This window comes from Homo sapiens, chromosome 2 (assembly GCF_000001405.40).
Source record: "Homo sapiens chromosome 2, GRCh38.p14 Primary Assembly".
NCBI lineage: Eukaryota > Metazoa > Chordata > Mammalia > Primates > Hominidae > Homo > Homo sapiens.
The window spans coordinates 170,318,092-170,330,717 of record NC_000002.12 but is presented as its reverse complement, the minus strand read 5'-3'; the positions used below and the strand labels follow the sequence as shown (position 1 = coordinate 170,330,717).

Sequence of the window (12,626 nt, the reverse complement as noted above, 5' to 3'; positions counted from 1 at the left end):
TAACCAAAATGAGCAAATAAATCATGATTTAAACCTCATTGTAGACATTAGCTGATGTCACAACCATTATACACACATACATGGTGGGTCAGAGACAGAAGGAGATGAATACCAATAACCATCATATGTTGAGTGCTTACTATCACAAAGCTTCATGCCAAGTGCTTCACATGTAGGTCAACCAAACATTGCAATAATCCTATTAAATAGGAATTATTCCAGTTTCACAAGTGAAGAAAATGCAACTTAAAAGAAGAAATTTTCTAAAAAACTTTCAGCAAAAATTGGAAGAACCAGGTTTTAAATTCAGGTATTTCTGTCTCCAATGCCCATATACCTCACTCTTCTGTATTTTATCTCGTGAAGAGTCCATTACTTTGGAAGATGAATTAAGAGAACATACATGCAAAAAAAATGACAGAAAACCAGTTAGCAAGCAATGCCTCAAGAAGGTGCAAAATGAAGCCCTCAAACATTAAAGCACACTCACCAAGGAGATGCTGAGTAAAAAATTTCTCAGTGAGGCACAGTTAATTAAGAAGGGCTTCCTGAAAGTTGTGAATTTTAAAGCAGGACCTCTGTTCACAGATGGGACATAAATCAGCTAACTAGGGGAGGAGGGTGTTAGGGGAGAAGGGGAATAACAGAGGAAGATAGAAAGAATGAAGTATAATAACTAAGAAACAATTGTTAACATCCAGTTAAACACTTAGGAATGTGTTAAAAAAACATTCTATTTCCTTACTCATAAAAGCAAGAAAGCAAGACATTTGAGTGTAATTAACTGTTCTGATAGTATTAACTACAGCAACAGAGCTGCCATTCTGATTACAATTGGTAAATCCCATTAATAAAGTTGAATAGTTAGTCGTGTGTCTGTGTCTGTGTCTCTCTGTCTTGCCCCAGCTGTTCCTAAATTTGCTTTTCTCCCTAAGTCACATCTTACCTGTTCAAAATTAATTATTTTTAAAAGTTTACATTTAATTGTAATACATGATTCATCTAAGTGTAAGAAACATTCCCTGGCTGGGCATGGTGGCTCACCCCTGTAATCCCAGCACTTTGGGAGGCCAAGGCAGGCAGATCACTTGAGGTCAGGAGTTCGAGACCAGCCTGGCCAACATGGTGAAACCCCATCCATACTAAAAAAAAAAAAAAAAAATACAAAAATCAGCCAGGTGTGGTGGCCTGCACCTGTAATCCCAGCTACTCGGGAAGCTGAGGCAGAAGAATCACTGGAACCTGTGAGGTGGAGATTGCAGTGAGCCAAGATGGCATCACTCCACTCCAGCCTGGCGACAGAGAAAAAAAAAATCCCCAATAGTGGAATGTAGAGAATAAAAAGCAAAATTCCTCCTCATTATACAGTCTCCTCCCCATTATCAGTATGGGTTATATTCTTTTAGACCTTTTATTACATGAATTTGTAGCATCTGCTATAAATATTTTATATATATACACACACACACACACACACACACACACACTGTTTTTCTGTGTTGTAAGTAAATGTCACAATATAAATTGGACAATATATTATTAGTAGTAGTAGTATTTTTTTTTTTGGAGACAGAGTCTCACTCAGTCGCCCAGGATGGAGTGCAATGGAGCGATCTTGGCTCACTGCAACCTCTGCCTCTCAGGTTCAAGTGATTCTCCTGTCTCAGCTTCCCAAGTAGCTGGGATTACAGACACCTGCCATCATGCCCGGCTAAATTTTGTAGAGACAGTGTTTCACCATGTGGGCCAGGCTGGTCTTGAAATCCTAACCTCAGGTGATCTGCCTTGGCCTCCCAAAGTGCTGGGATTACAGGCATGAGCCACCGCACCCGGCCTTAATTTTTATAATTTTTATAATATAGTTGAGAGTATAATCCCAATAGAAATGGGATTATACACCACAAAAATGTCCTGGTACTTATTTTTTTCCATTCAGTAATACAGCTTAAAGTTCATCCATATCACTTTCATACCTAAATGGCATTCCACAGAGTGGGTAACTATAGGTTATTTAGCCGTTCATGTATTGGTGAACATTTAGGTTGTTTCTGTTTTTGTTACTATTAGAAAGAAGGCTGAAATGGCTTACATATGCCACATGTCATATGGGATTTCAAACTTTTAAAATATCTCTTAGGTGGCAAAAGCACTGACAAATGAACACTTAGTATCCTTCCAAGAAACTTGAATGCAAAGAGAGAATATACTGCCGCATCTTCTGGGGGTGGCTCAGTGAGCAATTTCAGAGCAGTGGGGGCAACAGAGCTACAGCCAAGGAGGAAGCAATCAGCAAATGGTCCCACAGGATTATGAATAATGCTCTGTGGGCCAAAACTCCATAGAACACACTGTAAATAGTGACCTTGAGTGGTTCGATTCCAGCAGCTACAAACACTGAACCTTATTGCTGGGTTCCACTTGCAAGAATCTGCTACCTCGTTCCAGTGGTGGGTATCCCTGGGTAATAACCTCAGCATACGTGACACAGACGAAGATATATTCAAAATATGCATATGTGGCCAGTGTGGTGGTTCATGCCTGTAATCCTAGCACTTTGAGAGGCTGAGGCGGGCAGATCACTTCAGCTCAAGAGTTCAAGATCAGCCTGGGCAATACAACAAAACCCTGTCTCTACTAAAAATACAACACTTAGCCAGGCATGGTGGCAGGTGCCTGTAGTATCAGCTACTTGGGAGGCTGAGGCAGGAGGATCGTCTGAACCTGGGAGGTCGGGGCTGCAGTGAGCCGAGATGGAGCCACTGTACTCCAGCCTGGGTGACAAAGTGAGACTGTCTTTCAAATATATATATTTATACATTATATATATATACTATATATAGTGTATATATATATATATGCTAATAATTCCACTAGAGAAAACATTTGAAAAAATTACAGAAATAGTTGGAGGCATTTATAATTAGAAAATAGATGATATGAAAATGAAACAGAAATCAGTATCACAATGCTACATACTATACCGTCATTAAATGTGAAAGATTCGTCCAGGTTAGAAAAGATATCCATGCTAAGTGCTAAATCCACCACAAAGGCACCTCCCAATCAGGGTCAATCCCTTAAAGTAGGGAAAAGGAAGAGAAGAAGAGATGTGTAAGGAGAACATTAGATGGGGAAATGTCTGGAAGAAAGCAAAGACAAAATGCTCCTAGATCACATCTCAGCCTTAGATTACCACTGTCTAAGAAAGGGAAGCTTCTATGATTAATAACTATGATACTTTACAGTAACTGAAGGAATTACCAAAGGTAGTAAGGAGAAAAGCAAAAGCTTGTAGTTAAATTTCAAGCTTGTTGATTCTTCTTTGTTGTTGTTGAGAAGGAGTCTTGCTCTGTCACCCAGGCTGGAGTGCAGTGGCGTGATCTCAGCTCACTTCAATCTCCATCTCCTGGGTTCAAGCGATTCTCCTGCCTCAGCCTCCCGAGTAGTTGGGAATACAGGCATGTGCCATCACACCCAGCTAATTTTTGTATTTTTAGTAGAGACAGGGTTTTACCATGTGGGCCAGGATGGTCTCGATCTCCTGACCTTGTGATCTGCCCGCCTTGGCCTCCCAAAGTGCTGGGATTACAGGCGTGAGCCACCACACCCAGCCTTGTTGATTCTTTTGATTCTGATTCTTAATGACCTGTTTGGTCCTATACCTTAAATAATGCCATTTGCAATGTTAGGCTATAATCACTAAAATGTAAAGTTACTACATTGAATCACCCAGTTCATAATAAACCATTCCTAACCACTATAGTCAGTAAGTGACAGGTGTTCACGTCCTCTGGCTTTCCAGCCCAGCACCAATCTGCTTCAAAGGCCATCCCAGAATATGAAGATTACATGTTTCCCATATCAGGTATTATTACCCCAGGCCTGTGGGAATGACTTGCAGAGGTTTGGGGGTGTCACCAAGCTCTATTAATCCTTGACCACTACCTCAAAATGTAAGTGTTCACAAAAGGCATGAATCACATTTTCTCATTATCTCTAAAGCACATTGGGGTACCTTTCCCTCTACTGTACTCTCCTTACGCAAACACAGGACGCATAAGCAATTCAGCCATGCATGAAGAGTGCAGGAGAAAGTCAAGGACAATAGAAGGTGCCATGTCAATAGAGATGATGGAGGGGACAAGTGGGTGTGTGGCTCGTTGTCTGAGCCAATGTGGTCATTTACTGACATCCATTCTTTAATTTCCTCCTTCAATAAGAACTCGGCAATATCATCAGTTCCAACTGTTATTGTCCAGTGTGTCAGGGAAGTAGACCTTGCCCCAGGACTGGCTAACGACCCTTTTCCTAGGTGGTCCTTCACATATAGAGTGGAAACCACAACCCTGTTCTTTTTCACACACATTTGTAAATGCATAATTTTTTTAAAAAAATTATTATTTTAAAGAGATGTGTTTCAAATAGATCATGTTGTTCTCTAAATGCTTTTCCATCATCAAATTCTGGACTGTTTACATGGGTTCTTTGGAAGTGTGCTCTTTGAAGGTGATCATTACAGTGTGTCTAATGAGAGATGTAGAATCACTCCTCAATTAGATTAGTATTTTAAGAAAAAAAAAAAAAAGCTTTATATGTGTGGTGGGATAAAAACCACAGTGGTATGGGGGAGGGCCGGGGTATAGTTAAAGCCAAAGGTTAAACATGCCGTGCTTATCAATCACTTTTTCTGGTGGCAAGTTATTTTAAAAGAGTTGTTTTATATGAAAATTGTTGGGGAAAGGGGAGTGGCAATAAAAACAGGACTTCTCCCTACCTGGATTCTGAACACGATGAACACAGTCAGCAGATAAGGTCCAAAATAATACCTTTATTATAGATAGAACTGATCTTGGAGAATGTAGCTTTCATCTGCAGGGAGTGGACTTTCTCAAACTGAAAGGCAGAGGTAGAGATAGACTTATCTGGCCAGTCTTGGGACTGGGCTGGACCACCACAGGTACCTCAGTCAGGAACACAGCCTTTGCCCCTGAGCTTAACTACGCTGAGAGCAATCAAGCAGGCAGGCTAACTTCCAGAAGAAAGCAGAAGGGAAAGAGCAGGACCATGCACGACCAGTTCCTCCCCAAACTCACCATCTGCATACATCACTTCTCATCCTCTAGCATCTATCAGTTTGGGTCCAATCAAAAGACGGAAACCACACCAGAAATTTGAACAAAGAAAATTTAATATAAAGAATGTTTAACTTAGGCCAGGCGTAGTGGCTCACGCCTGTAATCCCAGCACTTTGGGAGGCTGAGGCGGGTGGATCACCTGAGGTCAGGAGTTCAAGACCAGCCTGGTCAACATGGTGAAACCCCGTCTCTACTAAAAATACAAAAATTAGCCGGACATGGTGGTGGGTGCCTGTAATCCCAGCTACTTGGGAGGCTGAAGCAGGAGAATTGCTTGAACCTGGGAGGCGGAGGTTGCAGTGAGCCAAGATTGTACCAGTGCACTCCAGCCTGGGCAACAAAGCGAGACTCCATCTCAAAAAAAAACCAAACCAAACAGAACAAAAAAGAATGTTTAACTTGTAACAGCGGATTAGATACTAAGGAGTAAAGAGAGTTCTAAAGAATACAGATATAGCAGGTATTGGAAGCAGCTGCTACCTCTACTGAGATGGAGTACCCAAGAAGAAACAAATTTGGAAGAGCCCCTGCCCCCAAACCCAAGCCTGAGATTCAGGCCTCAGTGGAAAGGCTATCACTATGGGCCTCCGTGGTGAAGTTCTCTGAGGTGAGACAAGCCAGGGCTGGCAAGCATAAGACCACCTGCTGGGGTGCCTTTGAAATTCATTGAGAAGCCACCAGATTAGGTGCCAGAAGAATTCGCTGGAGGGTGAGCACCACAGGGTGTCCCAAATGCCACTGAGAGCCAAAGGCCACAGAAGCAATTAGGAAAAAGCACACTGAAACCTGCAAGAGCGTTCTTTCCTCCTGCAGTGGCCTTCTAGTGCCCTCTGCTGACAAAGCTTAATATCTGCCACATGGCAAAGAAGAAATGTTCACCAAGTCCACTCCAGCATCACAAAGCAGAGCAAAGGGTAGATTCAGCGCTGAAAAGTGCAGGAACGAAGTGAATTAGAAAACAGAGAGAGGCCAGGAATGTTACAACGCTCTTTAAAAAAAGACAAAAAACCAGCTTCTAAGGAATTTCAATTTGGGGCTTGCAATAGGCAACTTCAAGCTATCGTCAACTGACTGAGTCCAGTCTCCTCCGACATTAGGAGCACTTGCATATATTTGAGAGATAAAGAAGAGATTATAGAAACCCTCTTCCCCTACTTAAAAAGACATGTCTTGTGATGGGCATGAAATTTCCTCATTAAGACTCATAGTTTTTCAATCCAGAAGTTCCTTATTTGAAATGGGAATGTTCTGTGAGGCATCCTTTTGTAAACCTTTATTGACCAAAACTTCCTTGGGATAAATGACAGTCAAGAATAAAAATGTAGAAAAAGGGATCCAGCAAAGGGGCCAGTGAGGGGAAAGGGCCACAAATACAGACTTAATCTCTTTATGGGTTTCCGTTCCTATGATTCCAATGTTGTATGAGCTGAAAAAGTGAAGAGTCAGGTGGCATGGCACCTTTCTGACTCTTTCCTGTCGCTCTGCCTCTAGGATTTCGCCCAACATAGAAAGGTAAAGGAACCAGTGAAAGTCCACGTGATTCGAAGCTCTTTTGCCAGGATCATGGCCATAAAAGGGGAACTCCTTTTTCTTCTGGGCCCCAATTTCTCACCAACTCAGTCATGAGTGCTAAGTCAAAGATAGGGAGTCAGCCAAAGGGAGCTGATTCATGGGTCTCCCCCTGGCTCTTTTAGGTCCAGTCAGGAACCCAAGACTTTCCTATAAGCTGGACCATTTTTCTGCAGTCTAATATTTCTGAAGCCTGAGTCATTCATGATAATAATAACAACAGCTAACAATAATAAGTTATTAGATAATAATAACTCACTTCTTGAGTACTTACTATGTGAAAGCACTGTGCTAATAATGTGCTGATTTAATCCTCACATAAACCCTATGAGGAAGATAAACAAGTCTGTTTTAGAGATAAGAAAACAGAGGCTTAGAGAAGTTCAGAAGCTGGTAATGGTGCGGCCGAGCTTCAAATGCAGGCAGCCCAATTCCAAAGTCCACAATTACAACCATCTTGTTTCTGCATTTGGGATTTATTCTTGATTAATGAGACACCACTTCTTTAGATTCTGCTAGAGCATTTTATATCATATTAATGGGGAATCCAGGCCTGATATGATAAGCCAGTTGCCCTTCTGACATCCTATCAACTTAAGCATCAACTCAAGCATATTATTCTTCAGTTCATCCTATCAACTTAAGCATTAGCATTCTTCAGATTATAAGACACTAGCAAGCAAATCCAAAGAACATTTTGTTTGAGATGCTGAATGATCAGCGATAGAGTATGAGCTGAGAATGTTTTCATCTGTTGAGTTTTACGTGTTTTCTGTCATTTAGCTCCCTCCAAAGTCACAGCTGGTAAAACCAAATGGGTCATTTTACCACAATAAGACCAACGTCACAGTTCAACAAGCACCATTTGTCCTCTAAGGCAAAGCCATGCACCTAATTATGACACACTGTTAATAAATTTGTAATAGACAAAAAGAAATTGACTACTATGGATTTTTTTTTCCTCAACAAAGCAAAACCATTTAAAGGGCAGATTGTGCATCTATTTCTTCTTTTATTGTTTCCATAAAGTTAGCATTATATTCTAGACAGAAAAAATCAGGGCAGACCTCAGATGAACAGATTGTACCATCAGATCCTACCACATTGTCTCTAATGGGGGAAATTAGCAGCTGAACATCAACACCTGTCACCATGAGCAGACCCTGGCACACACACCAGGTAGGAAGGCTGTACAGTTCCTTAGAGCAATCTGAGCCTGGATCACCAGAGACCATGTGCATGCCAATGCCCACAGAAGCATAGGCTGACAGGCTCCATTTAAAGTCAGGTGGATATATGAAATGCCAGAGGAGATGTAGTAGCAGTTCCTGAGGAAGACTGGTTATCAACAACAGTGAGCGCTACAAAGGCTTTATAGAGATCGTACTAACTGCAAGAATAGAATCACACACATGGGCAGAGAGGCCCCAGCAGTAACTACCGAACATTCGTCCTCTTTCAAGGGCAAAAGACACCACAGCAGCACCCCCTCTCACACCTGGATGGCTTGGGTCATGTCTCCACTGAGCCAGAATATGGCCAATTGTTTTCACCAACCTCAAGATCAATTGCAATAATTGCTACTGAATGGATTATGCTGCGGGTCCTGGCAGTTTGTAAGGGGGCCTAACTGAGCAAGCACACATTTATTTTTCTGACATTGTAAGCATGTCTTCTCTTTAAAAGGGCTTTGGACATTTTTTCCTACCCGGTTGCCTAGCAACCTTTTGAGGGGACAGAAATAGGAAGGAGGATACTGGAGACTAATAGATAAGTGTTTATTTCGTAGATTTCTTTTTCAAAAATCAATCTGTTGTCACTTCCTGGGGTGGGAGTGGGGTGAAGGTGGAGGAACTGTGCTATATTATAGTGCTGCTACTCTTTTTTTTTTTTTTTTTTTCGAGACGGAGTCTCGCTCTTTCACCAGGCTGGAGCACAGTGGCGTGATCTTGGCTCACTGCAACCTCCACCTCCCGGGTTCAAGCAATTCTCCTGCCTCAGCCTCCTGAGTACCTGGGATTACAGGCACGTGCCACCACGCCCAGCTAATTTTGGTATTTTTAGTAGATACGGGGTTTCACCGTGTTGGCCAGGATGGTCTCAATCTCCTGACCTCAAAATCCACCCGCCTCGGCCTCCCAGAGTGCTGGGATTACAGGTATGAGCCACTGCACCCGGCCTACTCTTCTAGCAGGAACACACAGTGCCAGCAAGTGTATTTACACAAGAATTTTCAGAAACTGGGGAAGTGTATCACTGATACTGCATCTTAATTAAGATGAAAAATAAATACATCAACATTAAGTCATCAGAAACACACTGAGTATTCAGGCATGTCCCAGACATGCCTGAGAAGAAACTGTAATCTCTCTCACTTCACTCTAGTTGTGAATGACTAGTGAATAATGCTGCATTCTTGTCTGTCTGGTCTCCTTCTTTTCACTAAATTATATTTTCCTAGAAAAAGGACCCTTTCATTAAGGTGTTCAAGTTCATTCGCAAGGAACTAAGATAAGTAGTTCTTTTAACTTCCTCTGTATCTGTAGTTACTTCCCTCTTTTTATTTTTTGTATATTTAAACTTTCTCTCTTTTTTCTTGATTAGGTTAGTTAATAAACGATCTATTTTATTATTTTTGTCCCGAAAAAGCTCATGATTTATATATTGGTTCTACTATGTTTCTACATTCTGCTTCAGTAATTTCTACTTCTATTTTATTAAATCCTTTCTTATGTTTTATTTAGATTTTTTAAAATTGTAATTTCTTGGGTGGAAAGCTTAATTCATTTGCTTTCATTCTTTCTGGATCATTAATATAGGTATTCAGGGCTATGAATTTGCCTCTAATCCCTGCTTTAACTATTTTCCATTAATTCTGACATGGAGTTTTCTTGTTTGTTTCTCGATTTTTTTAGCAGATGGGGTATCATTATGTTGCCCGGGCTGGACTAGAGTGGCTATTCAAAGGCATGATCATAGGGCACTACAGCCTTGAAATGCTGGACCCAAGTGATCTTACCGCCTCAGCATCCCAAGTAGTTGGGACTACAGGTGCATGACACTGCACCCAGCTTGGTTATACAGTACTTTGAAAATTGTTATTTTCTATGTATTCTTCAATTTCCATTTTGATTTTTTTCACCTGACCTGTTAAAGATGGTTTTGTTTTTTCATACCTAGGTGGTAAGGACTTTTTGTTTTCTATGTTTGTTTGTTTATTTCCAGTTGTAATGCATTGTGGTCAGAGAATGTTGTCTGTACTACTTACATTTTTGAAATTTGAGAATGTCTCTGTAGACTTCATAGCAGGTATAAGCACATATATATATGTAAATAATATTTACATATGACATACATAACATATATCATAAATATATAATTATATTTAAAACTAAGTGTATACCAATCGATATCTCAAGCCCTGTCCTTGAAATTAGAGGATGCATCTCTTTTCAAGTGCCCATGAAACATTCACAAAAACATACACTGTTGCTTATTTTTATATCTATCTTAATTTTTAAATCTATTTCTCACAAAATGAGATAGGTTCATTAAATAACTTTTGCAACCAATGTACATCTCCTTGTATTTTTCATAGCTTCTGCTTTATGAACGTGATGCCACAAATAAATATACTTCTTATATTTTCATTATAAAATAGCATCTGGCCAGACACAGTGTTTCACACCTGTAATCCCAACATTTTGGAAGAACTGGGGTGGGAAGATCGCTTGAGCCCAAGAGTTCAAGATCAGCTTGGGCAACACAGTGAGAACTTGTCTCCACAAAAAATAAACTAAAAATAAATTATCCGGGCATTGTGGCGCATGCTTGTAGTCCCAGCTACTTGGGGCGGGGGAGGGCTGAGAAAATGAGAAAAATATATTTAAAGAATCTTTCATATTAACCCACATCTATGCCGTTTCCTGTGCTCTTTATTTCTTACTGTGGACTTCAGTTACCATTTCTATTCAACCTGAAGGACAACCTTTAGTATTTCTTGTAAGGCGGGTTGGCTAGCAACAAGTTCTCTCAACCTCTGTTTATCTGGGGTTTCCTTTATTTTAACTTCATTTTTTTTGAAGGATAATTTTGCTACATAAAAAATTCCTGGTTGACAACTTTTTCAGCACTTTGAATATGTCATCCCACTGCCTTCTGACTTCTACTTTTCAGATGAAAAGTTAGCCATTAATCATACTGACCTTCCCTTGCACATGATCAATTGATTTTTCCCTTGCTGATTTCAAGATTTTCTCTTCATCTTTCACCAGTTTAACTAGGATGTGTAAAGGTCTCAATCTCTTTGTATTTATGCTACTTTGGGTTTGTTGAGATTTTCAGTTGTGTAGACTAATGTTTTCATCAAATTTGGAATGTTTGGACCTCTTATTTTTTTAAACAAAATTTTGAACATTTATCTCACCTCCTTCTGGAAGTTCCTTTACATGTATGTTGTAATGCATTATGGTGTCTCATGGGTCTTTGTAGCTCTGTTAATTTTTCTTCAATGTCTTTTTTTCCCTCTGTGTTCTTCAGGTTGGTTAATTTCTATAGATCTCTCTTCAGATTCACTAATTCTTTCTTTTACCATCTCAAATCTGATGAGATCCATAATTAATTTTTTTCATTTCAACAATTATACTTTTCACCATCATTGGGGTGGGATGGAGGCAGCCTAAAATGGTGAAAAAGAACATAGCTCTGGAGACAAGCTTTATGAATTCAAGTCTGCACACCACCATTTATTAGCTGAGTGAACTAAAACAATTTACTTGGCTTCTCTCTACATCAAATTTATAACCTAGAAAATGCAAATACTACAAGTGCCTAACTCATAGTGCAGTTTGAGAATTGAGCTACTACATAAAGTGTTTAGAGTAAAGCCTGTCATAAAATAAGCATCCCAATAACCTTTTGCTATTATTACTGCTGATGTAGGAGTTTGGTCATCCTAGCAGACATGATCTGAAATTAGTTTTGTACCCTAAACCTGAGATCTGGGGTAAGAAAGATTAGCCCCACATATGTGACCTCTTCAGCCTTTCCTATTCTTTCTTCTCAAGTTCCACTATGCTTGTTCCATAGGTATATTTGGGTTTCCCTATTGTTTTGCTAAATTACACTATGGTCACACCACTAGGGCTAATACTAAGCTCACTTGGTGAGATTTCGACACATGACACAGATTTTTTTGGCCTCATCTCCAGAAGGTCTGGACCTTGATTCTCATACCTTTGGGTGTTAGTTGTCATCAAGCTCCAACCCACACTAACAACTCAGAATTACAGCACCACAGCTACTGAATTTATATACGTCTTCTCTGCATAGAGGTACCTCCTGCTCTGCTCTTGCCACCCACTATACTGGATCTCTTATATATGACTCTTACTTATTTGACCCCAAGTTTGGCCAAAATCTTCAAGACAAGGAAATTTCGCTTGAGACCACTCACATCATGGGGTACAGCCCAATAACCACATCAGCATCCTAGCTTCCAGTTCTTCCCAGTCCTAGCCCTCCCCATCCTATTGGCTCATAGCCCTGAACATCTCCTTCACCATGTGCCACCAATTCCTAGTCCTGGATCTGCATTGACTACAAGGTATTAAGGACTATAATATTTAGTTAAATCAGTGTGTCAGTGGAATAATTTAGAAAGTAGTAAAAGAGAATCTCTAGTTAACCATTAACATGGTATTAAGACAAACCCTGGTGAAGTAAACAGACCAGATTTTTCAGTCCCATTTGGTCAATCTAAGGAAAGTCTAAGCAAAGATGAATATAAACTGTCCAGTGCTCTCTCTCTACTCTCCAAACTTGTATGCAACTAGTTAGTTTCCCAATGACAACTAATGATGCTTTATATTTTACAAAGCACTGTCACAAATGTATTTCATTCAATCCTCAAAATGACCCTAT

The 12,626-nt window shown here is 40.2% G+C and overlaps 1 protein-coding gene across 8 annotated transcripts in view, besides 1 other annotated feature; it reads right to left on the bottom strand.

The window, feature by feature from the left end:
- The window catches only part of MYO3B (myosin IIIB), a 477,021-nt gene that overhangs the window by 324,450 nt on the left and 139,945 nt on the right, over positions 1-12,626 (bottom strand). The gene's annotated exons all lie outside the window — the stretch shown is intronic.
- Positions 5,543-6,082: an enhancer, noted in NCBI's record as "OCT4-NANOG hESC enhancer chr2:171181146-171181685 (GRCh37/hg19 assembly coordinates)". NCBI's record gives its function as "activates a minimal SCP1, AML or CMV promoter by ChIP-STARR-seq in naive and primed H9 embryonic stem cells {active_cell/tissue: H9 hESC(naive and primed)}" and the evidence as "EXISTENCE:reporter gene assay evidence [ECO:0000049][PMID:30033119]".